A 26,372-nucleotide genomic window follows, 5' to 3' on the forward strand; every position below is an offset into this window, starting at 1 on the left:
GCCTCAATGCTCTTTTAACAAGCTCCACATTACCAACTTGTCAAAACTCATGCTACTCATCCTGAATAAACATAATGACTAAAGCAGGATACACTGAATGCTCCCAACTGGTATACCTGAACATTTCTATTCCTATAAATTAAGTTGTATGTTTACATGAGTTGTATTTTTTCCTCAAACCTACTGACACAAGTTGTACTTACTGTAACTGGTTGACTGAAACACTTTTTAAACCGATACAATGAATGCAAAAAGAGTTGCTTCTAAAAATTAAATTTTTATTTTCTATTTCCTCAGTCTCTCAGGAAATGTACACAGAATGCCCTAATTTTATCTCTCTCTCTACTCAAATGATGCCTGTTTCTTTTCAAAGAAGCCTTTCCTGGTTCATTCAATATGAAGTGGCATTCTCTGTATTCTTAAGTAAAGTACCCATACTTTACTTTTCTTCAGAACATTCAGTCTGATACTATGTTTTCTGTCTATTTCTACCATTAGATTACAAACTGCATGAAGGCAGAGAATTGTCTTAGTTACTCTAGACCTCTAGCAATTAGAACAGTGCAAGAAATGTAGTAGGTGCTCAATGAAAATTTAAATGTTTAGAAAGAATCCTTCAAGATAAGGTTTAATTAAAATGAGGGAATCTGCACTCAGACAAGACTTTTTCAATTAGCCACAGATAAGACAGATCCTACGTGTTCCCTTGTTCCCAAAATGAATTTTTCCTTCAATTCAAACGCAAACTTTCTTTTCAAGAATACCTCACATGCAAGCTCTTCACTACTACTCAGGAAAACCCTAAAGAATAAGTGCAACTTATTTCCAATCCCAACAGCAGTAAATTATCCACTTTGTTCTAAGGTTGATAATATCAGAATTTGTTAATGAAGTGCCAAAAATCATACCCTAAAATAACAACTAAAAACCTTTTCTCTGCTTTTCTTCAAATTTCTCTTAAGAAATTAACTCTCTGCCTTTTCAGGAAGTGGGGAGGGAAACTCTTTGGTATTCAAACAAAACGTTACAATTCTGCTTTTAAATAAAGTGTGCTCCCTTCTAGTGTTTTCCAAAACCTTATACTAGAAGAGTTTCTAAATACTTTGAAAGCAAAAAAAACAAAATTTTGATTCATCAAAATTTTGACTGCCCTTGAAATCAATTTTTAATTATATAAAATTTTAGTAAGTTCTGGGTTTTTTAAAACATCCTAAAAAACTAAAAGATAAGGAAACTGCCACATGGTCAGAAGTCATTGCGGCTCTGAAAGGTCACATGTATTACTTCATTCTTTGAAAAAAACACAAAAACTGGTCATACTGAAAATGCAAACTGAATAGAGCTATAAATAAATTTCAATAAGGTATGACAGTAATAAAAAAATGACAATGAAAAATGAATTACGAGGTTTTAAATTGAACTAAAAATTGCTTTTACTTTCTAAAATCAAGTTGCATTCAAAAACAAAATCATATTACAGTTAGGAATACAGACATGTAATAAAAATTTTTTAAAGAATAAAACTCAGAATAAAGTTATCTTTGCTTATGTTCTTAAACTATAACATATGCCCTTGGATTTGAGAAAACAGAAAATTAATGAAATGATTCACAGCAGCCAAACCACAGTTATACCAGTTACCTCGGGGAAAACACTTTTGGTTACTGTATATGACTTATGAAAAAATTTTACAATAGTTTTTTTTTTTTTTGAGACGGAATTTCGCTCTGTCGCCCAGGTTGGAGTGCAGCAGCATGATCTCGGCTCACTGCAAGCTCCGTCTCCCGGGTTCACACCATTCTCCTGCCTCAGCCTCCAGAGTAGCTGGGACTACAGGTGCCCGCCACCGTGCCCGGCTAATTTTTTTTTTATTTTTAGTAGAGATGGGGTTTCACCATGTTAGCCAGGACGGTCTCAATCTCCTGACCTCGTGATCCACCAGCCTTGGCCTCCCAAAGTGCTGGGATTACAGACGTGAGCCACCGCACCCGGCCTGTAATAATTTCATATTAAGTATCTTTTCTAATGGTAGGGAGTATTAAGTTTTATGCTGGAAGAATTCTTCATTATAAAATATCTGACATCCCATTATCAAAGAAAAGCATGTATCCAATTTCCAAAGGCTCATGTCAAAGATAATCGATTACTGCACATCAGTTTCCACTTATTGAAAATCTATTGTGTATCATTGTTAGATGCCTTATATATATTCCTCTTACATAAGCCTCAAAGTATAAGGTTAAGTATTTTGCACAAAGCCAGTCATACAGAAAAAAGCAAAATCAATCTACATCAAGTCTGCCATGCTCCCAAGTCAGTGCACCATGGTATTTTCTCCAACAGTGCATACTCGTAACCTAACAAATCTTGAGGTGGGTCCTATAAAACATATAGAACCTAGCTGCTGAAAAGAGCTACCTGTCTGGGCTGACACATGTGTCACCTTCAGCCCTTCTTTCCTCTAGGAGGTTAAAAAAAAAAAAAAAAGTCGGTTTAATCTGCTGAAGATTATGCTTATTAAAAAAAAAAACAGAAAAGAAAATGTAGAACTTCTTCCACATGTTCTCTTTATGACTTAAAAAAGCAACAGAAGGTAAGCTGATCATGATCAAAGACCAAAATTTCTAAACTCTAGCTACATATGAAACTCTAGCTCAGCTTTGGCTTTTGTAAACACTTAACAGCCGTGTAGTCAGACTAAATGACTTCCAGGGACAGCCTACGTTTTCCAAAACCCTCAGTATAAAACTATAACATACAGAAATAATACACAGCAACAGAATATGCATATTTTCTTGTTACATGTTCTTGAGAGTAAAAATTGTACCTTCTTCATCCACTAAAGTACCTTAAAATATGTGATGTAGCCATTTACTAAGTATTTATTAAACTTTAGAATTTATGTTCTTCCATACATCACAATGGATTTGAACTGACAGAAATGAAACTTCATACTGATAACAGAAGTTACACTGCTCCAAAACTCTGAAGTAGGGCAGATCTTGGTTAATCCTTTTTGCTAAGTAAATCAACTGAAAAGAATGACTTAGATCAAAATTTTTATATTCCATTTGGAAATGAGAACACGTCTATTTCTTAATATTCTGGAACTGATAACTCACCTGAGACCATGGTCTGTGATCTGATAACATCCAGATAAACTGAGAAACAGAAGTACACGTCCAGTCTCTTGATCAGATTTTTCACTCCCAAAGTAAATTAAGTCTTTTCCCCTAGGCAATCTAGTCCTTGCTGCTTTTCTACACATTGCAGAAGATTCTGGGAGTGATGACATAGTTCTTAAAGCTGTTCCTGTACAACAAAATGAGTGACCACAATACGCAAAGGCTGGAGAAGCACAATGCTGCTGCCAACAGACACTAGTCCTTAGTCCAACAATGTCCTTACTAAAACAACCAGAGGTGGAACAACTAAAGTTGGATGCTGTTTCCATTACACAAAGACTTTCAACATTTCTATGTCTCCATTCCACAGTATCTTCAATATCAGCCAAATCTTCAGCATCTAACATCCACACATAAGGAGAAGTGAAATTCTCAGAAGAAACAGGCTTAGTCCAGGGGTGTTCATTATCTATTTCTTCTCCAATGCCCTTGTTAGTTAAATCGTGCAAACAGGCATACTGCTTGGTGGACTGCATGGTAATGTCTTTATTTTTCCACGCAGTTGAAGTAATTTTGCTTGTAGATGTTTTCAAAAAGCCACTTTGATGAGATGTCAGAATTCCAAGAGCTCTGGAAATCTTCTCTAGGGCCACATCTGTGATTTTCTCACAACCAGACAGATCAAGATGCCGAAGACTCTGGCAGCAACCAAGCCAAGACCAACTATAATTAAAAGACAAGACTATTAATGAATATTGTTAAATTTTTCAAAAGCATTTGACTATATGCATGTAGATGAAAACCAGAAGAAAGATTTGACATCTAATATAATCACTTAAGTATTTAGTGAATTATCTATTGTTAAGGTACTATTCTTGATGCTAGGGATACAAAAACTCAATGAGAGTAATAAGGAAGTCAAAGTATTCCTAACCTAACAGAAGGGTAGGATTTGAGAGGCGTAAGGATTGGAAGACTTAAGTTTATTATCCTAAAAGTAGTCAGCAGAAGTAAGGCTGCAAACACATGAAAGAAAGAGAATAACCGACGGTTAATGAGGAAGATCCATAAGAAACAAGCTCTAGGAAGATGGAGCATTAGCTTTAGCCCGAGAAGAGTATACCTCTTCCTCTGCAGCAGGAAAAAAGGTGCTGATATAAATAGTTGGGTGGGAAAGAGGGAGTGAGCAATAATACAGAGAATTGGTGGTCAAGGAGATATACTCTGGGAAGAAGGTGGCTTGAAGAAAGTTACACTATACTATTTCAGAGTAACTGTGAAGAATCTAAGAGGGAGCTTTGCCAAATGGCACTTAGAGCCCAACTAAAACTAAAACTTCTTAAAAACATATAATACCAATCTACATGGTTGCACAGCAGGGCTCAAGGGCCTAGACAAAATATAGGACTACAGAGATTGCAAGATAATACAGATGGGATTTTTGGATCAGCTGGGACCTATGAGTAAGAAGTGAAGAACTGGAGGGTGCTATCAAATTATACTCAGACATGACTGAGATTTGATAGTAAAAAATAATAGTATGATTAAACTGCAATTACATAAATGAAACCTTATAAAATAGTTTTTCATTATATTTAAATTGTTTAAAATAACTAACCTGTCAAATGCAGAATCTGAAATGTCAGTCTGGGTAAGATCCAGATGCTCCAGGTTAGGACAAAGCTCTAAAATCTGCCTAACCTAAAAGGCAAGAAATTGTCACTGTAAAGATCTGCAGAACTTCAGTTAGCTAAGTAACAGATGACTATTAGTAAACATAATCTAGTTCACAAACTTTTGTGAATATAAAAAAAAATCACTTGAATACTTGAAAAAAGTATAATAAAATATTCTGGGCTCAAATCCCTGAGAATCTCTTTTTTTTTTTTTTTTTTTTTGAGACAGAGTCTCGCTCTGTCACCCAGGCTGGAGGGCAGTGGCAGTATCTTGGCTCACTGCAACCTCCGCCTTCCGGGTTCAAGCGATTCTTCTGCCTCAGCCTCCTGAGTAGCTGAGACTACAGGCACACGCCACTACATCTGGCTAATTTTTGCATTTTTAGTAGAGATGGGGTTTCACCATATTGGCCAGGCTGGTCTTGAACTCCTGACCTCATGATCCACCCACCTCGGTCTCCCAAAGTGCTGGGATTACAGGCATGAGCCACCGCACCCGCCCAAGTATCTGTTTTAGCAGTTATGAGACTAAACCAGGATTTTTACATTTTTAAGGAACACTCAAGATTCTGATGTAGGAAGTCGTAATATCCACTTTTATAAAACAGTGATTTCATCTCATTTGCCCATCTTACCATGCCTTACATATTATTTAAAAAATCACATAAAACTGGGCTTTATCACTTAACATCTGTGAAACTGAATAAAATGTTTAACCTCTTCTAGTCAGTTTCCTCATCTGTAACATATAGGTAATGATAATTATGCTACAAAGATTGTTGTGAGAACTGCAATGAAATAATAAGTAACCTAGCAGTGTATGCCTACCCATAGGAAGGCACTCAATAATCATTTTTGGGTTTGTTTCCCCTTAATTAAACTCAGGAATGAGCAAACCAAACTCTTATCATGCTGTTTTTCTTAATACCCAAACTAGTGTTAATTTAAACATACCATTTTGCTGGAAACTGCAGAGCTGTATGCTAATACTAAGGTTTTTACAGAAGTACCAACATATGGTAGAACGTTATGAATTAAGCCATGGAGTAAACGTTTTTCCATTTGTGCAATGCTGATAGCAATTGATTCCTCCGCAGACTCTTCTGTAAAATGAATTCAAAAGTCCAAGAACTTGATAAACTGATAATAATTAAGCTACTCAAGCGCTCACCAAATTGTTAAATATGACATACTTTGTGCTATCCTTATACTTTCTTATGTAAACCATCCCATTTTTAGGCAATGAAAAGGTTTTGGAAAAAAATGTGAAAACTGAAAAGAACAGCAAAAGTTTTCAAGAGAAAAGAAAATATGATATCAAAAGAAAAATGATCCATAGTAAAACGTACTATCACTGATTCCACATAACTAAAAAGGGCACAAAGCTAGAAAAGATTTGAAACTCAACTAAATTAGCCTGATCATAATGAATCAAGCAAAGGAAGGTACTTTAGAATTTCTAAGAAGCTAAAAATGAGCATGGCTTTTGGTTTTACTTAATAACTTCTGTAAAGCTTGGATGTTTACAACAGAATGTACTACTGTAACATCCACCATGAAAACACCATAAACTCCAATTCGAAAAAAGGAAAAAACACACTACACTAAAAAGAATGAATAATTGTATTGTATTACCTTTCTCAGGATCCTATTGTTATTATTCTTACCTAAAGACCAATTTGAATGTCTTTAAACATAAAATGATTTAACAGAATAAGTTAAGGAAGTCTCATTTAAAACAAAACTAAGTATAGCAGACAAAAGGATATCAACTAAAAGAATTTGTTACTCATGGTTCCTTGTTTAGATATTATCCTAAATTCCTCCTTTAGCCAGACACAGACACACACACACACACGCACACACACACACACGAAGATAAAATATAAGGAGATAAAAATTACTTTAGTGAGCCCTACTATAATTTTATTCCCAAACCATTCTTTTGTTTCTGTGGCCCTCACTATCTAAATGTATACTATTTACTGTGAAAATTTTAAATTTTTAATTTTTTATTGATATACAATAATTATGCATATTTTGGGGGTACATGTGATACTATGGAACCTGTATACAATGTGTGATGATTAAATCAAGGTAACTGGAACTGTGAAATCTTTAAGAAAGTTAAACATTCTATGAAAAACAATAACTTCTTAGGACAAGTAAAAAGACAAGGCAGCCAAACCGAAAAAAGCACTGAAGTAAATGACAGTTTAGTCTTTAATAATCAACAGATATATTATCTAAAAAGGCTCAATCTTTACAGCGTTAACTTTTCCTTTTCAATATGAAGGAAATTGAGTCTTTCCTCTGGCTATCTTCAAGTATGGAGACAAATACACTGAATTTGTGAGAACCTTCAACATTCTTACCACGGGTATTATGAATTAATTTTCTAGAATGAATAAACTGAGACTTCCTTAAGTTGACATCTGAGCAAATATCTCATCTCCTTCAGGTCTTTACTCAAATTTCCCAAAGGACCTTAACTAATCGCTCAATTTAAAACTGCAATTTTAAATTCTTCTTGGCATGTTTTCCTTGTCTTATTTTTCTCTACAACACTTGTCACCATCTAATATGGAATATATTTTACCTGTATTTATTGTTTGCCTCCTGTCTCTAAATTTTAAGCTCAACAAGCGCCAGTTTTGTTTTGCTTTTTTCCATTTTGTTCACCATTAGATCCTTCATACCTAAAACAATGCCTGCCACAGGTAAGCACATCACCAAATCTATCAAACTAGAATAGACCTTTTCCTTATATAGGACATTTTGAATCTTTACATCAAAATGTGGCACATCTGCGTTTCATAAAAATAAACTACTTTAGCTGCTGATACAACAATCTTTATACTTACACTGTTACTTTCCACGTGTCTTTTTTCCACATTTAATTCTTTCGCCAGACCAAATTACTTTAAGCAAGTAACTTTATAAATAAAATTTCCTATAGTTTCAGTTTTACCAACTAGAAGAATGTCTCATCTGTTCATTTTTTACTATTTTACCATCTTTTAATAATTATTATCTAGAATATCCAAGACAGAATTTGTTTTCCTCCTCACACTTCCAAATAGCATCTCTCTGCACAAGTATGACAGCATTTTTCCATCATATACTTTAAATTAAAAATTATGTTTTCTAAATTCTCTCTCATTTGTGAGTTGTTTGGAGTAGCGATGAAGTCTTATCCATCCTTGAACTCTCCCACAGTGTTTAATGAATGGCTACATTAGTTTTTGTAATCCCTTACCATTTACAAACAATATTTATGTATATTACTTCTTAATTCTACAATAACCTTATTAGGCAAGTATTAAGACTATCTACAAACGAGTAAGTCGACTCAACAGTTTCATCCTATTTCCCTCAAGCCATAGATGACTCAATAGATGCTGTGCAACTGATCACTTGAAGTGGTGCTAAAATCACATTGTAAACTACAAAGCACTATAATAAACGTACATTATTTTCATAAGAAAAAAGGTACCATTTTCTGATTTTTGATTTTAATATAAAAACGAGAAATAATCCTATGCACTCTTTAAAGTACTTCAATTAATTTAAAATTTCATTATTATTCCTTCAAATTTTAAAAAGTAGTAGGCTTAGAAACACCAGTTTCTTTAGAAAACACAAAATACATAAATCTAATACCTAATAATTATAAGTACTTAATTATCAATTATTAAAACACTATGTAATAATTTTAATTCCAAACAAGCTTACCAGATTCATCAATGTCAGCATCTTCATCCCACTCATGAAAAGCACGACTTTCATCTTTCCTATTTTTCACCCATTCATCATCAGGTTCAGTATCAAGTTCAGTTGCGGGACCACTATACCAGTCACCTACTCAATGAATAAACAAGTAAAAGGTTCAAAATAATATCAGATTGCCTGCAATTATGAAAAACTAAGCTATTTACGATAAAAATCTCTACAAAGAGAAAACATCTGAGCCCTAGGCAATAAGCAACTGTTTTTTTTTAATACTTTTAAGTTCTACGGTACATGTGCACAACGTGCAAGTTTGTTACATAGGTATATATGTGCCATGTTGGTTTGCTGCACCCATCAACTCATCATTTACATCAGGTATTTCTCCTAATGCTATCCCTCCCCCAGTCCCCTACCCCCACCACAGGACCTAGTGTGTGACGTTCCCCACCCTGTGTCCAAGTGTTCTCTTTGTTCAATTCCCAACTATGAGTGAGAACATGCGGTATTTGGTTTTCTGTCCTTGTGACAGTTTGCTAAGACTGATGGTTTCCAGCTTCATCCATGTCCCTGCAAAGGACATGAACTCATCATTTTTTATGGCTGCATAGTATTACATGGTGTATATGTGCCACATTTTCTTAATCCAGTCTATCATTGATGGACATTTGGGTTGGTTCCAAGTCTTTGCTATTGTGAATAGTGCCACAATAAACGTATGTGCGCATGTGTCTTTATAGTAGCATAATTTATAATCCTTTGGGTATATACCCAGTAATGGGATGGCTGGGTCAAATGGTATTTCTAGTTCTAGATCCTTAAGGAATCGCCACACTGTCTTCCACAATGGCTGAACTAATTTACACTCCCACCAACAGTGTAAAAGTGTTCCTATTTCTCCACATCCTCTCCAGCATCTGTTGTTTCCTGACTTTTTAATGATCGCCATTCTAACTGGTGTGAGATGGTATCTCATTGTGGTTTTAATTTGCATTTCTCTGATGACCAGTGATGATGAGCATTTTTTCATGTGTCTGTTGGCTGCATAAACGTCTTCCTTTGAGAACTGTCTGTTCATATCCTTCACCCAGTTTTTGATGGGGTTGTTTTTTTTTCTTGTACATTTGTTTAAGTTCTTTGTAGATTCTGGATATTAGCCCTTTGTCAGATGGGTAGGTGGCAAAAATTTTCTCTCATTCTGTAGGTTGCCTGTTCACCCTGATGGTAGTTTCTTTTGCCATGCAGAAGCCTTTAGTTTAATTAGATCCCATTTGTCAATATTGCCTTTTGTTGCCATTGCTTTTGGTGTTTTAGTCACAAAGTCCTTGCCCATGCCTATGTCCTGAATGGTATTGCCTAGGTTTTCTTCTAGGGTTTTTATGGTTTTAGGTCTAACATTTAAATATTTAATCCATCTTGAATTAATTTTTGTATAAGGTGTAAGGAAGGGATCCAGTTTCAGCTATCTACATATGGCTAGCCAGTTTTCCCAGCACCATTTATTACATAGGGAATCCTTTCCCTATTTCTTGTTTTTCTCAGGTTTGTGAAAGAAGATGGTTGTAGATGTGTGGTGTCATTTCTGAGGCCTCTGTTCTGTTCCATTGGTCTATATCTCTGTTTTGGTACCAGTACCATGCTGTTTTGGTTACTGTAGCCTTGTAGTATAGTTTGAGGTCAGGTAGCATGATGCCTCCAGCTTTGTTCTTTTGGCTTAGGATTGTCTTGGCAACGCGGGCTCTTTTTCGGTTCCATGTGAACTTTAACGTAGTTTTTTCCAATTCTGTGAAGAAAGCCATTGGTAGCTTGATGGCAATGGCACTGAATCTACAAATTACCTTGGGCAGTATGGTCATTTTCACGATACTGATTCTTCCTATCCATGAGCATGGAATGTTCTTCCATTTGTTTGTGTCCTCTTTTATTTTGTTGAGCAGTGGTTTGTAGTTCTCCTTGAAGAGGTCCTTCACATCCCTTTAAGTTGTATTCCTAGGTATTTTATTCTCTTTGTAGCAATTGTGAATGGGAGTTCACTCATGATTTGGCTCTCTGTTATTGGTGTATAAGAATGCTTGTGATTTTTGCACATTGATTTTGTATCCTGAGACTTTGCTGAAGTTGCTTATCAGCTTAAGGAGATTTGGGGCTGAGATGATGGGGTTTTCCAAATATACAATCATGTCATCTGCAATCAGAGACAATCTGACTTCCTCTTTTCCTAATTGAATACCCTTTATTTCTTTCTCCTGCCTGATTGCCCTGGCCAGAACTTCCAACACTAAGTTGAATAGGAGTGGTGAGAGAGGGCATCCTTGTCTTGTGTCAGTTTTCAAAGGGAATGCTTCCAGTTTTTGCCCAGGCAATGGGCAATTTTTTAGAAATATTTAATTATGGTTAAAAAAAGTTACACTGAAATAAGCAAAGGATTCCATTTCAGACACACTGAGAAGAACTATGACAGGTGGGTTCGATTAACGATAATAATCAATTAACCAAAGTTCATATTTTCCCAAAGTAAATCTTTCTCTTTCAAACTATGGAAACAGAATAATAACTACAAAAATGTACAGAGTCTGCTATGTACCTGCTATGTATCTACTTTCTATACAAAAAGTTTTTCAACTTTTTTATAGAAATAAGCTTAATGATTATCAAGTCTTGCATAAAATTTTAGAAATCACGATGAGCAAACAATTTCCCCTGCTGTCATTTCACACTGGTTCCCACAATAGCCTCATTATGATAACAGCTAATAACTAAAAGGAAGCAGGATTGTCTACTCTGTAGTCAACCAGTCAGCAGTTCAGAAGTAGATGGGAACAGAAGCAAAGGGAAAGATTAATGTAAAGCTAAACTATAAATTTATAGATCCTGGAGAATGTACTGCAACTAAATTATATGATCATGAAATGAGAGATTATGCGGAATCAATTTACTGAACTCATTTTTCTGGAGACAGAGTCTCACTCTGCCGCCCAGGCTGGAGTGCAATGGCACAGTCTCCGCTCACTGCAAACTCTGCCTCCTGGACTGAAGTGATTCTTGTGCCTCAGCCTCCAAGTAGCTGGGATAACAGGAATGCACCTCCACACCTGGCTAATTTATTTGTATTTGTATTTTAGTAGACAGAGCGTTTCACCTTGTTGCCCGGGGTGATCTCGAACTCCTGAGCTCAGGCAATCTGCCTGCCTTTGCCTCCCAAAGTGCTAGGAGATTACAGGCGTGAGCCACCGTGCCTGGCCAATTTACTGAACTCTTAACATTACATCTAAATTAAGGCTTCTCAACCTTGACAATACTGACATTTTGGGCTGGGTAACTGTTTTTGGGTGCTGTCCTGTGGATTATAGGGTGCTTAGCAACAACCCTGGCCTCTACCTACTAGATGCCAATATGATACCCAAAGATGGGGCAAACAAAAATGCCTCCAGATATTTCAAATATCCCCTGGAAGGGGGAAAAATCAATTTGATTGAGAACCACTCAAAGCACATACTATAAATAAATAAAAACCGATTTCTATTGATTTTTTTTTTCTTTTTAAGACAGAGTCTTCCCTCTGTCACCCGGATTGGAGTACAGTGATGTGATCATGGCTCACTGCAGCCTCGACTTCCCATGCTCAAATGATCCTCCCTCCCACCTCAGCCTCTCAAGTAACTGGGATTACAGGCATGTGCCACCATGTCTGACTAATTTTTTTTCTTTTTTGTTTTGTTTTTTTTGAGACGGAGTCTCACTCTGTTGCCCAGGCTGGAGTGCAATGGCACATCTCAGCTCACTGCCACCTCTGCCTCCCGGGTTCAAGCAATTCTCCCTGCCTCAGCCTCCCGAGTAGCTGGGATTACAGGTGCCTGCCACCACACCTGGCTAATTTTTGTATTTTTAGTAGAGACAGGGTTTCACCATGTTGGCCAGGCTGGTCTCAAACTCCTGAACTCAGGTGATCCACCCACCTCAGCCTCCCAAACTGCTGGGATTACAGGTGTGAGCCACTGTGCCCGGCCATTTTTTTTATTTTTTTAGTAGAGATGAGGTCTCTGTATGTTGCCCAGGCTTATTGGAACTTTTTGTTTAACATATTAAAAACAGAAAAAAGCAGTATATTTGAGATTTAGGTGAATTTATGAAAGCACAGCATTATCACATTTGACATTCCTATCAAATCGTGACATAATTCTTAATAATTCTTAAAAATTAAAAATTTTTAAGCCAGAAAAAATATTTTCTGCATCCATGTTTGCCTTTTTACTAAATATTTCATTATCCTACAACAGAAAAAATTATCCCACATAACAACTAATTATTTAGACGATATAAGTCTACCTAATATTTCAAATAGCTTCATTCAAAAAAATATCTAACAGCTTATTTTAAAAGTACTATACGTGGCCGGGCACGGTGGCTCAAGCCCGTAATCCCAGCACTTTGGGAGGCCGAGACGGGTGGATCACCTGAGGTCAGGAGTTCAAGACCAGCCTGACCAACATGGTGAAACCCCGTCTCTACTAAAAGTACAAAAAATTAGCCAGGCATGGTGGCGGATGCCTGTAATCGCAGCTACTTGGGAGGCTGAGGCAGGAGAATCGCTTGAACCTGGGAGGTGGAGGTTGCAGTGATCCAAGATCGTGCCACTGAGCTACAGCCTAGGTGAGAGTAAAACCCCATCTCAAAAAAAAAAAAAAGTGCTATACATTATTATAATGAATAAAATTGCTTTTAAATCAGACTCATGATTTAAATCAGACATAAAGTCATAAACAGAAAACAATTTTTAAAAATTATGTAAATTTTGAAGCTAATATTCCCCTGGGCCGGGTCTGGTGGCTCACATCTGCAATTACAGCACTTTGGGAGGCCAAGGCAGGTGGATCACCAGAGGTCAGGAATTCGAGACCAGCCTGATCAACATGATGAAACCCCATCTCTACTAAAAATACAAAATTAGCCAGGTGTGGTGGTGCACGCCTGTAATCCCAGCTACTTGGAAGGCTGAGGCAGGAGAATCACTTGAACCTGGGAGGCAGAGGTTGCAGCGACCCAAGATCGCGCCATTGCACTCTTGCCTGGGCAACATGAGCGAAACTCTGCCTCAAAAAAAGAAAAAAAAAAAAAAAAAACTCACCTAGCAGAAATTGTTTTAACTCAGTGACAGAAAAAATGTATGCTATATTAGTTGTATTTAACCCATAACTGCATTATATGTTGATGAAAAGAAAATTTTCTTTAACTGTTCACATGTGAAAGTAATTTACTATAATGATATTAATATGAAACTGTGATTCAGAGAATGTGGCATTACCAATCAAATAAAGATAGGTCAAAGGCAAAAACAGATTCACAATTATTTTGAGCCATCACCAAAATGGAGCCATAATGGTATATCACCCTTAAATTTTATAGAATTTATTCTGTATTTTAAAAATATTCATATAATTATTATTAAACATAATTATTTAAAGCAGTTTTGAAAGCTTACTAATTGAATTTTTAACTTTTAATTCTGAAAAACAGTCAAAAGCAGAACTAGTATAATGAATCCCCATGTATCTATCACTTATCTTCAATAATTATCAATTTTGTCAATCTTTTTGCATCCCCTCCCACAAATATATTTTCCTAATTTTTTTTAATTACAGACATCATTATAATTTACCCATGAATTTCATCACTGCTAGTTTTCCAAAAATATATACCACCAAAACATCATCTAACTATAAAATCTACTTTTTGATTGACCTCTCAGAGTTTCTCTCTCTGGCCTTGCTCATTAATGTAAATGAATATTCATCTAGAAAAATACATGAAAATATTTTAAAAACCCATTTACCTACCTCTGGCCCAATGAACAGGGTAAAGATGTTTCCAAAGCGATCCCGTTTTTGTCAGCTGAGACCATTTCATGCTTACTTGACTGCATCGACATAACTCTTGAGGATTAAGATAGCTGAAAATTGACAGCATTACCTCAGGAGGAAGATGGGTTATACCTGTGGAGTGTTCTGACACTTCTGCTTCTGAAATAAAAAAGAAAAACTTTACCAGTAAAGGCTAAAGAGCATATGCAATAAGAAATTACAATTACATTTCTATAAACAAAATCCAGTGCCTGAAGTCAATTCCTTCCTGCTTGCAAGATGTGAAAATGAAATAACATGTATTAGAGGTAACATGGGGATGTTAAACTTGTGAAGAACCAGTAGGGTTAAACTATCATGGCCCAAATCATACTTCATCAGTGGGAGCTACAATAATGAACACAGAATTAACTTCCTCTTACAAAGGCATCACAGAAAAAACAATACTCACTTTGTAGCATTAAGCAGCATCACTTGAAAAAGGAACAAAACAGGTTATACAGCTTTAAATCAACAAGTATAGAGTCAGCCAGATTATGAGATCTCCAAGGCATTTTTAATGACACACACAAATCTCATGACCTTTTCCATTTATGCATTATGACTCCTGTCAATAATCTTGCTTGTATTCCCTCTTTGATTTTCACATTTCATACAAGAGGTCTGCGAAATCTGACTGCCTTAACCTAGAGATGCTTTAAACTACTTCAGTTATTTATGTTGCAGGTGAGACGACAAAATGTAGATATTTCTGATGTTCTTTCACATTGATAATGAAACTTTTGTCAGCAACTATTGCAGGAAGTACTTATGGATGTATAAACCTATAATGTATTATTTCAGTAATAATTTCCAAAATAAAAATGAAAATGAAGTGTTACAATAAAAAATATAAAAGATTCATCACTAAAGTCCTATGAAGAATTTGAGTACTTTATATATCTGATTTGTTTCACAAAGCAACTTAAATATAGAAATGCTATGATCACATTCTTTAAACTACCACTTTTAAACTGCCAAATATTTTAAATATAATACAGCTACAATTTGCTTTGAAGGAGTGGGAAAATAAAATGTAATAAGTGTGATGCTTTTAAATCCCATGTTATAATTACAATTAAACCAGACATAACAAGTCTTAGCTTGGTATCTAAAGCACAAGCTACATTTCATAGTAAGGCATATAAGCTTTACGGGATTAATTATAGCTTAACTTGTAAAATTATTTTAGTTTCAACATGCATTTCACCTACTTTGTTAAATAAAAATAAAAGGACCAATTTCAAAAAACTCCAAGCTATTTTAACAGAAATCCCACTGCTGCCACTAATCTTGAAGAAGCAAAGCTACTGAACATAAATAATTACTGAGGAACTAGTTTTTTTAAAAAAAAAAAAAAAGGCAGCACGTTTTATTTGCATTTCTCATTTGTATTCTCAGAGTAACAATACAGAAAAACTCTGCCTCTAGTACTCATTCCTCTGAATATTACTGGATACAAGCTGAAAAAATAATACATAGGAAAGGATGAAAATAAACTATAAACATAACTAATTTTGAAAACCAATGAAAAAAACACAAGGAAAGAGAAAAGCAGCCACTATGGTCAATAAAGCTCAGGAAGCAGGATGATATCGCAAAAGTGCTCTGTGTAATGGTAGTTTTCAACAATTTTGACTGATCGATTTTGAGCAGGCCAGTGCTCTGTACTGGTGGTTTTCAATAATTTTGATTCATTCATATATAAATTTATTCAAGAAACACTACACTGAATATGTCCCAAGTATATGTTAAATTATCATGCACAACACTAAATTCTAAAATGAGAACCATCGTCTTCAATTAAATTGATACATGAAAATAATGCCTTTAACTGACCACAGTGCAGGCCTAACTTGAATTATTCCTCAACCAAAATCTACAGTTCATATCAGTAAGATGTCAATGACCTTACAACTAATAAATTGTTCTTTATATATATGAATCTCACCTTTATCTGACTTTTCATCCACGGAATATTTAAAAAACTTCTGTCGCTCTTCAGCATGATTCCATAGGCTAAGACCTCTAAGGAGTTCTGCAGTATCCTTCTGAGAGCAGTGTTGTGCAATCACTTTCTTTTTAATATCCTTAAGCTCTTCATAGGTAAAATATTCCATTAACATGGGCTGAAAAACCTAAATTAAACAAAATATTCACGAGGAAAGATGCTTCATTCGTGTTGATTTACTCTAAACCCTTTTAAATTATTAATGGCTCGAATGTCGTATTATGACCATATATCTCAAAAAGATAAAAATTTTAGCTGTCACCACTGAGTTAGTTTATCTAAAAATTGCAGAGAAGAGTACACCAAGAAGATCCTGGCCAGGCGCGGTGGCTAACACCTGTAATCCCAGAACTTTGGGAAGCCAAGGCGGGTAGGTCACCTGAGGTCGGGAGTTCGAGACCAACCTGATCAACATAGAAAAACGCCATCTCTACTAAAAATACAGAAGTAGCCGGGCGTGGTGGCGCATGCCTATAATCCCAGCTACTCGAGAGACTGAGGCAGGAGAATCACTTGAACCTGGGAGGCAGAGGTTGCGGCGAGCCGATATTGCGCCATTGCACTCCAGCCTGGGCAACAAGAGCGAAACTCTGTCTCCAGAAAAATAAATAAATAAAATAAATCCTTCTTGTTATGGTTTCTCCAGCTAGTAAATCAATCCAAAACAATTTTAAAGCATAAGGACCAGAAGGCTTTCCCTTTATAGAATTTGTCACTCTTAATCATTCTGTTAGATGTTTAGGTCAGTTAACTGCCTTCTGGTACTAGAGTAACTGAACTCCACCCAAACAGGGCCTCTGCCTCACATGAGAGTAGTACCCAGTGTAGTGGAACCATAAAAGTCAGAACTCTACTGAGACATTTAACTTTTCAATATTGTTTCTGGATTTTGGAAATGTTCCCTCAAATCATTATTTTAGAACAGTGGTTCCTACAAGAATTATCTATGGAGATTTCTTCTGCTAAACAGATGCTTAGTCTCAATCTCCAATTTACAGAATTAGAATCTTTAGAGGTTGGAAACAAGGCTTTTTTTGTTTTGTTTTCACTTCCACAGATAATTGTGATGGATATCATACAGTTAAAAAACACTGGTCAGTCTAGAAATTCAGTGGTTTCAACACTGGCTGTATATTACAATGAGTTGGGGGGCCCTGAAAAAATACCCAGGTCAATGCATGTCCTCTGATTTAACTCTGATGTAATTTGTCTGAAAAGGTCTTAAAATACTATCGGGGTTTCTTTTGTTTGTTTGTTTAAATATCAATTTGATTATAAGGTGAAGCTATAGTTGAGAATCACTACAATAACTGATTTACAGCTGAACAGGTATTCCGTTCCTCATAAAATAATTTATCTATTTCTTACTCTGATATTCATCCCATATTAGAGACAGAAGAAAAAGGGAAAACGTTTTGCCCATTCATTCAATGATACCCTAATACATGTACAGTAGGCTTAAGATAATAAATGTTTTTGTTTATTTGTTTGGAGACACGGTCTTGCTCTGTCACCCAGGCTGAAGTGCCATGGCGCAATCATGGCTCACTGCAGTCTCAACCTCTTGGGCTCAAGCAATCCTCTCACCTCAAGCTCCCAAGTAGCTGAGATGACAGGCACATGCCACCATGCCCAGCTGATTTTTTTAATTTTTAGCAGACATGAGGTCTTGCTATTTTTCCCAGGCTGGTCTTGAACTCGTGAGTTCAAGCAATCCTCTGTCCTGCCTCAGCTTCCCAAGTGCTGGGATTATAGACGTGAACCACCATGCCCAGCCAAGACTAATACATTTAAAGCCACCATTTAAATACTAAACTACACTACTGAAAAAAAAAAAAAAAAACATGAAAAAATCTTTAAACATAGCATGAAAACAAAAAAATATTTAAAAGTTTAAAGAATCCTCTAAAGGTTCTGAAAAGACATTAGGGTAGCATAAGTTATTAATATTTAAGACAGAGCCATTTACAAAAAAGAAAATTAATATTTCCTGAGTAAATTAATTAAATCATCTATTCAATGAAAAGCAACAACCTTTCTGAGAAAACAAAACAAACGTTTTTTTTTTCCCTTGGGTTTTCTTTTTTCCCAAAAAGAACTGCGTTCTTCTCTCCATCAACCAGATACATCTTCCTATGCATTATTTTGAAGAGTCTCTAAAGCAAAATAGTATTTTAAGAATGTTATAAATCTAAATCACGAAAGAAAAATTATGCTTACCTCCTCTTCCTCTTTCATGTGAGGAAGAAAATCTCTTGTAAAAGCCTCCAATCTCTCTTTCAGTTGTTTTGCATAATTTAACTGTTCATATTCATTCTGGAAACCAAAAAAAAAATACATTTTTATAAAAGTTTCGCTTCATTAATTATGTCTGGTCCCAGGAAGTTTAAAATGTGACATAAAACCTCCGGGGAAAAAAAAATAGACAAATTGCAAAGTGGTCTCTGTACTTTTAACATAAAAGATACCCATAAAACAGTAAGCTTTGAATTACTTTAGTAATGTATGTAACCCCATATTTTTAAAATATCATAAAAAGTCTAAAAATAGCACGTATCTGCCCACAGCTTTTATTGATGTATATATAAATTATATACATTTATATAATTTCTACATGTCAGTTCTCTTAATGTATCTCCAAGCCTAATGGACTGTATCATTACAGAATCCCTTTATGGTCATCTAGTGTCTCCTCCACTAAAAAACTCAGAATATAGTTGACCCTTGAACAACACAGGTTTGAACTGTGCGGGTTCACTTAATTACCGATTTTCTTCTGCCTCTCCCACCCCTGCAACAGCAAGACCAACCCCACCTCTTCTTCCTCCTCAGCCTACTCAATGTGAAGACAATGAGGATAAAGACATTTATGATGATCCACTTCCACTTAATAAATAGTGAATAGATTTTTTTCTTCCGTATGATGTTCTTAGTAACATTCTTTTCTCTAGCTTACCTTACTGTAAGAATCCAGTATATATATTTTACATATAATACATGAAATAATTGTTATTCGATTGTTTTATGTTATTGGTAAGGCTTCCAGTCAACAGTAGTAGGCTGTAAGTAAAGTTTTGAGAGATTCAAAAGTTATACGTGGATTTTCAACAGCACAGGGTGTTGGCAACCCTAATCCCCATGTTGTTCAAGGGTCAACTGTACCTGTTAACATTATCCTGCCAGGCACGGTGGCTCATGCCTGTAATCCCACCACTTTGGGACGCAGAGGCAGGCGGATCACCTGAGGTCAGGAGTTCAAGACCAGCCAGCCCAACGCGGCGAAACCCTGTCTCTACTAAAAATACAAAAATCAGCCAGGTGTAATGATGGGCACCTGTAATCCCAGCTACTCGAGAGGCTGAGGCACGGAGAACTGCTTGAACCTGGAAGAAGGAGGTTGCGGTGAGCCGAGATTGCACCACTGCACCTCAGCATGGGTGACAGAGCAAGACTCTGTCTTAAAAAAAAAAAAGAAAAAATTATTTGATGTAAGGTCATATATATCAATATCAACACTTCTAAAGGCAAGGTGCTCACTATATCTTGAAGTAACTCATTCTAATTCTGGGCAATTCTAAGGAGCTATAAACTTCTTCCTCATAACCTAAAATCACATTTCCCCACTTCTATATCAGCCCTCTCAAAGCATGTGGAAAATTTATAAAATAATGAAAACTTTTTTTTTTTTTTTTAAGACAAGCCTTGCTCTGTTGCCCAGGCTGGAATGCAGTGGTGCAATCTTAGCTCACTGCAACCTCAGGTTCATGCGATTCTCCCACCTCAGTCTCCTGAGTAGCTGGGACTACAGGTGCCCATCACAACTCCCAGCTAATTTTTTTGGTATTTTTAGTAGAGATGGGGTTTCACCACATTGGCCAGGCTGGTCTCGAACTCCTGACCTCAAGTGATCTGCCCGCCTCAGCCTCCCAAAATGCTAGAATTACACGGATGAGCCACCATGCCCAGCCTATGAAAACTTTTAAAATATGAAAATATTTTATCTCTGTTAAGTCTTCTCTGGTCTCTTTTTCCAGAACTAATTTATTCAACTGCTTCCCAATATTCAGTCTAATGTCCTGTTCTCTTACGACTTTACACATTTTCCCTAAGCATATCCACATGGCTTCCATTCCTACTTATATGCTAATAATAACTATCAAATTTGCTTTTTCATACTGGGTCACTCTTCTGACCATGAAATCCATCTTTACCACCTCCTATTCATAAATGCCCATCTGGATTACACAAGCAGTTCAAACCTAATCTGTCAAGAATGAATCTTTTTTATTTCCTGACCCTCTTCTATATACTCTAGAAAGTCAGGCTGAATCCTCATTTTTATTTCTTTTCTCTTCTTTCATCCTCCCTTTAAGTATAATCACTACATTCTATCAATTTTATTTCCTACATAATTCTCAAGTCTGATCCCCTCCCCTTTATTTCTACTAGTCATGACTTTAGTTCAGATTTGTCGAAGGTGTATTCATGTGGCAATACATAATATGATACAAAATTCAAAGAATACGAAAGAATATTCAATAAAAAAGTAAATCTCCCTTCTATTAATATTACTATCTAGTACCCTACCCCAACCAAACCTCCCACACCTCCCCACCAAGTAGCTACTAAGTATTCTTCCAGAAACTATTAGAATAATTTTTTAATAATGGTCTTCCTCCTTTAGTCTTTTCTTTATCTTTAATCCATCCTCCCTAAGCTGTAGAACAGCCTTTCCAGAACATAAATCTCCAGGTGAGGAGCACATGGTGGCTTAACAGAGTTGTAACTTAAGCTTACGCTTCACCAAGCCAGAAGGGAAATAAACTAAGATCAAATTTCAAAATCCTATAATATGTAAATGTAATTAAGAAGAAAGTCTCTCTACATCATTATCCTAAACTATACCCAGTAATATCTTTAGCTCACTGCAACCTCCGCCTCCCAGGTTCAAGCAACTCTCCTGCCTCAGCTGGGATTACAGGCGCCTGCCACTATGTCTGGCTAAATTTTTATATTTTTAGTAAAGACAGGTTTTCACTATGTTGGCCAGGCTGGTCTAGAACTCCTGACCTCAAGTGATCCACTAGCCTCGGCCTCCCAGAGTGCTGGGACTACAGATGTGAGCCACTGCACACTGCACCTGGCTGGTATTCAATTCTAAAACAAGTAAAAATTTATAAAATTAAAGTGTTTATTCATTCTAAGTAATAATTATACCTTTGGTCACCATTAACTGGATAGCTTTCCTTTAAGAATTCAGCAAATGTTAACAGAATGTAAAAATTTTATAATTAAAACTTCGACTTACAAAAACAGCTTTCAGACTTGGTGAGTAGCATTCATTATAAAATTTTATTAAACAGTAATAAAGAGGTAACTGATGAAGACTCTCACCAAACCTGAGTCAGGCTCCTCTGGGCCCTCTTCTCAACTTAGGCCTGACCTTATACTCTGTTCTTGTTCGGCTTAGTCCAGTTTCAGCAAAAATCCTGCTGAATTGGTTTAGTGAAAAATCTCTCAGCCTTAGTATCTGATCTGCATCTACATCTAATCAAACTACTGATCCTTCAATATGTTACTATCCTCTTGCCTTCAGCAAGAATTTTATAGTTAGTCTAGCAAGAATCCCCTTGGCCTTGATGTTTCCTCAGTAGTTTTCCATCCACTCTTCCCACTTTGCCCCTTGGATATAAATCCCTACTTGTCCTTACTGTATTCACCGTCGGGACTGATCTCTCTCCACTACTGCAAACTCCCCACTGCAGTAGTTCTTTTTAAATAGTCTTCCTTGCCATCTTTAACAAGTGACAAAATAATTTTTTTCAACATTACATCATTTACTATAAAACAGTGACAAGTTTTGCCAATGATATACCAGAAGATGGCACAAGTTTTGACAGTTGAATATCCATTTTTGCAACTTACCTTAACATTCTTCAGTCCCTTTTCAAAGAGGCTAAGCATCTCGGAGAGTTTATTGTCAGAATGTACATTATAAATGGTCTGGCTGCGTTGTTGAAGCAAACCAATAATGTATTCATTTTCAATCTGCTCATGCATTTTGAACTCCTTGAAAGTAGCATACAAAGACTGCAGAAGAGCACGGAAATCGTTGTTGTTGGAAAAATTGGTTTTAGAAAGCTGAATAAAAATTTAAAAAGAAAAGTGTAATAAATACGTGCAAATATGCACAAATAAAAAATATTCAAATACATCCCTATTCACTTTTGCACACAGCATACTTCCCTTACACTTGGTTAAAGTACAAATAAAAGAAATTCATAAATTAACAAGTTATAATGGTATAATAAAAAGTGCACTAGGCCAGGAAGATGTTGGTTTGCATTCTGGAGGGCCTGGTGACACAGAAAAATGATATGTGCACAAATCACGGTTTCTTTAAAGAGAAGAGATTAAACCAGGCCCCTTCTAAACCTAAAATTTCATTACTCTATATGTATGCTAAATACAGGCAGGCAGAAATTTTAAAGAGGGAAACTTGATTAGGTTAAATACAACAGACGGGTAGATGAAAGGGGAAAAGCTACTAACACCATACCTCCTAGACTTGCTTTCTAAAGTATCTAGTATTCCTAAAATGGAACATAATCTAAGCTGTCTTATTGCCTATTATCAGCAGGAATGACGGTCTGATGACAGAGCATCAAAACAGATGACATAGAAGCTCCTAAAACAAAATTATTCCTACTATACATAACAGAATTAACTATCTTCTATAAAAAGTAGTGCGGATTATGCATTTTAAGAGTCATAGTGAACCAGTTTTAAAGTCACATTCTCTAGGATGGGATACCAGTTCTACCATTACTTAACTGTGTAACCCTGGGTAAGTTACTTTTCTTTCTTTCTTTTTTTTTGAGACAGAGTCTTGCTTTGTCGCCCAGGCTAGAGTGCAGGGGCATGATCTCAGCTCACTGCAGACTCTGCCTCCTGGGTTCAAGCGATTATCCTGCCTCAGCCTCCTGAGTAGCTGGGATTACAGGTGCTCGCCACCACGCCCGGCTAATTTTTGTATTTTTTAGCAGAGATGGGGTTTCACCATCTTGGCCAGGCTGGTCTTGAACTCCTGACCACATGATCCACCCGCCTCGGCCTCCCAAAGTGCTGGGATTACAGGTATAAGCTACCACGCCCGGCCTACTTTTCTTTCTTAATGTGTTAATCTTGATGTTAAATGGATATAATAAAACATCTGTATTTCACATGGTTGTTAGTACTCAATAAACATTAGCTATTATCATTTTGAAAATTAAATATTCATTTTTTATAAATTCATACATTTTTTACTCTATACAAATATTTACTGAGTAGCTATGATGAGGCAGGCACTGTTCTTTGGTACCTGGGATATATCAATGAACAAAACAAAGATTTCTTGCCTTTATGGAGTTTCCATTTCAGTGAAGGTAAATAAGACAATGAACAGTTAACTGCAATACATAAGTAAATAATCTAGAGCAAGAATTGGCAACTTTTCTATAAAAGGACAGGTAATAAATATTTTAACTTTTGCAGGCCATGTGGTCTGTAGCAATTATTTACCTCAGCAGTTGTAGCACAAAAGTAGTCATAGACAACATGTAAATGAATGACTGTAGCTGTATTTCCATAAAACTTTATAAACACTGAAATTCAAATTTCATATAATTTTTCACATGTCACAAAATACTATTCTTCTTTTGATTTTTTCCAACTATTTAAAAATGTAAAAGTGATGCTTGGCTCTTAAGCCACACAAAAAACACAGGCAGGACATACTTGGTTAAATACATATTATAGATTTTTTTTTAAATCATAAGAAATGCCCCACAAGATTACAATAAAATCTATTGGTGGCTAATCTCTGCAAACACTATCATGTATCATTTTTTGGAAAAAAAAAAAAAGGCAAACTTAAAAATAGCCTTAGTAGAAGCAGGGTACAAAATCAAAAGAAACCATTAATGCTAAATATTTTTTATTATTATTATTATTATACTTTAAGTTTTAGGTACATGTGCACAACGTGCAGGTTTGTTACATATGTATACATGTGCCATGTTGGTGTGCTGCACCCATTAACCCGTCATCTAACATTAGGTATATCTCCCAATGCTATCCCTCCCCCTCCCCCCACCCCACAACAGGCCCCGGTGTGTGATGTTCCCCTTCCCACGTCCATGTTGTTCTCATTGTTCAATTCCCACTATGAGTGAGAACATGCGGTGTTTGGTTTTTTTGTCCTTGCGACAGTTTGCTGAGAATGATGGTTTCCAGCTTCTAGATATTATTTTTTTAATGGCAAAAAGTAAACACAGTCAGCCTCCGTGGGGATGCAGAAACCACAGATTCAACCAACTGTGGATTGAAAAAGGCTGGGCATGGTGGCTCACACCTGTAATCCCAGCACTTTGAGAGGCTGAGGTGAGTGGATTACCTGAGGTCAGGAGTTCGAGACCAGCCTGACCAACATGGTGAAACCCCATCTCTACTAAAAACACAAAAATTAGCAGGGAGTGGTGGTGTGCACCTGTAGTCCCAGCTACTCGGGAGGCTGAGACAGGAGAATCACTTGAACCCAGGAGGCAGAGGTTGCAGTGAGCCGAGATCATGCCACTGCACTCCAGCCTGGGCAACAAAGCAAGACTCCATCTCAAAAAAAAAAAAAAAAAAAAAGAAAGAAAATGTTGAAAAAAATAAAAATAAACAACAACAACAAAAAACAATATAACAACTACATACATAGCATTTTCACTGTATTATGTATTATAAGTAATCTAAAGATGATTTAAAGTGTATGGGAAGATATGTGTAAGTTACATGCAAATACTATGCTATTTTATCTGAGGGACTTGAGCATCTATGGAGTTTGGTATTCATGGGTGTCCTGAAAACAATCTCCCACAAAATAGGAGGATACCAAGGGAAGACTGTAATGCCCTAACATGAGTTAAGAAAAATAATATATTAAAAGACATACAGGGAATTTTGCATATATTCTCATTAGACTATTAGAAATTCTTTTAGATCTAATAACACATTAAGGTAAAGATTAGTTTCATGCCACAAACTGACAGTCAAATTAACTATAGTAACTATATAAAGAGACTCTAAATTACAGGTAGAATCTATATCCAGCTAACCTAGCACAGTAGTTAAAAGCACTGACTCTAGGGCAAGATTGCCTAGGTGTAAATCCATTCTACCAGCAAGTCATTACATTTCTTTGTACCTCAGTTTCTTCATCTGTAAAACAGGGCTAATAATATTAACTACTTCACAGAGTTCTTGTGAGAATTTTTTTGAGACAGGGTCTTGCTCTGACACCCAGGCTGCAGTGCAGTGGCATGATCATAGCTCACTGCAACCTCAAACTCCTGGGCTCAAGTGATCCTCCTGCTGGCCTCAGCCTTCCGAATAGCTGGAACTACAGGTGTGGTGTGCACCACACCCAGTTACTTTTTTATTTTTTAGAGACGGGGTCTCACTATGTTGGCCAAGCTGGTCTTAAAGTCCTGGCTTCAAGCGATCCTCCTGACTCAGCATCCTGAGTTGCTGAGATTATAGGCACAAGCCACTGCACCTGGCTACCTGTGATAATTTAATAAGTTAATATAAAGAACACAGAATATAAGCCCTACCTAGGCATCTGTAAGGCTTATTTAGTAGGCTTTTCTGTTATTAATTCTGTATTCAGACCAAAATAAAATATCATTAGAAAGGAATTGGTACAGCCATTATGGAAAACAGTATGGAAATTCCTCAAAAAATTAAAAATGTAATTTTCATAAGTTCCAGCAATCCCATTCCTGAGTATATGTTCAAAGTAAATAAAATTAGGATCTCTAAGAGATATCTGCACTCCCATGTTCAATGCAGCATTATTCATAATAGCCAAGATATGGAGCCAACCTGAGTGCTTGTCCACAAATGA

The 26,372-nt window shown here is 36.3% G+C and overlaps 2 protein-coding genes across 22 annotated transcripts in view, besides 2 other annotated features; one reads left to right on the forward strand and one right to left on the reverse strand.

Moving 5' to 3' along the window:
* Positions 1–26,372, reverse strand: part of FBXL5 (F-box and leucine rich repeat protein 5) — a 77,189-nt gene that overhangs the window by 17,749 nt on the left and 33,068 nt on the right. For 11 of the 21 annotated variants that reach the window (XM_047450056.1, XM_047450055.1, XM_047450050.1 and 8 more), the window contains 8 exons: positions 22,364–22,579; positions 18,659–18,754; positions 16,379–16,565; positions 14,365–14,547; positions 8,537–8,662; positions 5,756–5,904; positions 4,744–4,826; positions 3,123–3,848 (listed from right to left, as the gene is read on the reverse strand). In XM_047450056.1, the coding sequence (XP_047306012.1) occupies positions 3,123–3,848; positions 4,744–4,826; positions 5,756–5,904; positions 8,537–8,662; positions 14,365–14,547; positions 16,379–16,565; positions 18,659–18,754; positions 22,364–22,579 (1,766 nt within the window). Of the gene's footprint in view, positions 1–3,122; positions 3,849–4,743; positions 4,827–5,755; positions 5,905–8,536; positions 8,663–14,364; positions 14,548–16,378; positions 16,566–18,658; positions 18,755–19,394; positions 19,499–22,363; positions 22,580–26,372 lie in introns of all 21 variants that reach the window. The other 10 variants (XM_047450059.1, XM_011513831.3, XM_047450058.1 and 7 more) reach the window with 4 other exon arrangements.
* Positions 13,444–13,640: a silencer, noted in NCBI's record as "fragment chr4:15637196-15637392 (GRCh37/hg19 assembly coordinates)". NCBI's record gives its function as "represses an EF-1alpha promoter that drives an FKBP-Casp9 reporter gene in an ReSE screen in phorbol 12-myristate 13-acetate-treated (for megakaryocytic differentiation) K562 erythroleukemia cells {active_cell/tissue: K562(+PMA)}" and the evidence as "EXISTENCE:reporter gene assay evidence [ECO:0000049][PMID:32094911]".
* The window catches only part of FAM200B (family with sequence similarity 200 member B), a 53,657-nt gene continuing 41,946 nt past the window's right edge, over positions 14,662–26,372 (forward strand). The window contains exon 1 of the mRNA XM_047450112.1: positions 14,662–15,114. The gene's annotated coding sequence lies outside the window, so the exon portion shown is untranslated. The remainder of the gene's footprint in view (positions 15,115–26,372) is intronic.
* Positions 25,035–25,260: a silencer, noted in NCBI's record as "fragment chr4:15648787-15649012 (GRCh37/hg19 assembly coordinates)". NCBI's record gives its function as "represses an EF-1alpha promoter that drives an FKBP-Casp9 reporter gene in an ReSE screen in K562 erythroleukemia cells {active_cell/tissue: K562}" and the evidence as "EXISTENCE:reporter gene assay evidence [ECO:0000049][PMID:32094911]".

The sequence above is a fragment of the Homo sapiens genome, chromosome 4, assembly GCF_000001405.40.
Source record: "Homo sapiens chromosome 4, GRCh38.p14 Primary Assembly".
Classification (NCBI taxonomy): domain Eukaryota; kingdom Metazoa; phylum Chordata; class Mammalia; order Primates; family Hominidae; genus Homo; species Homo sapiens.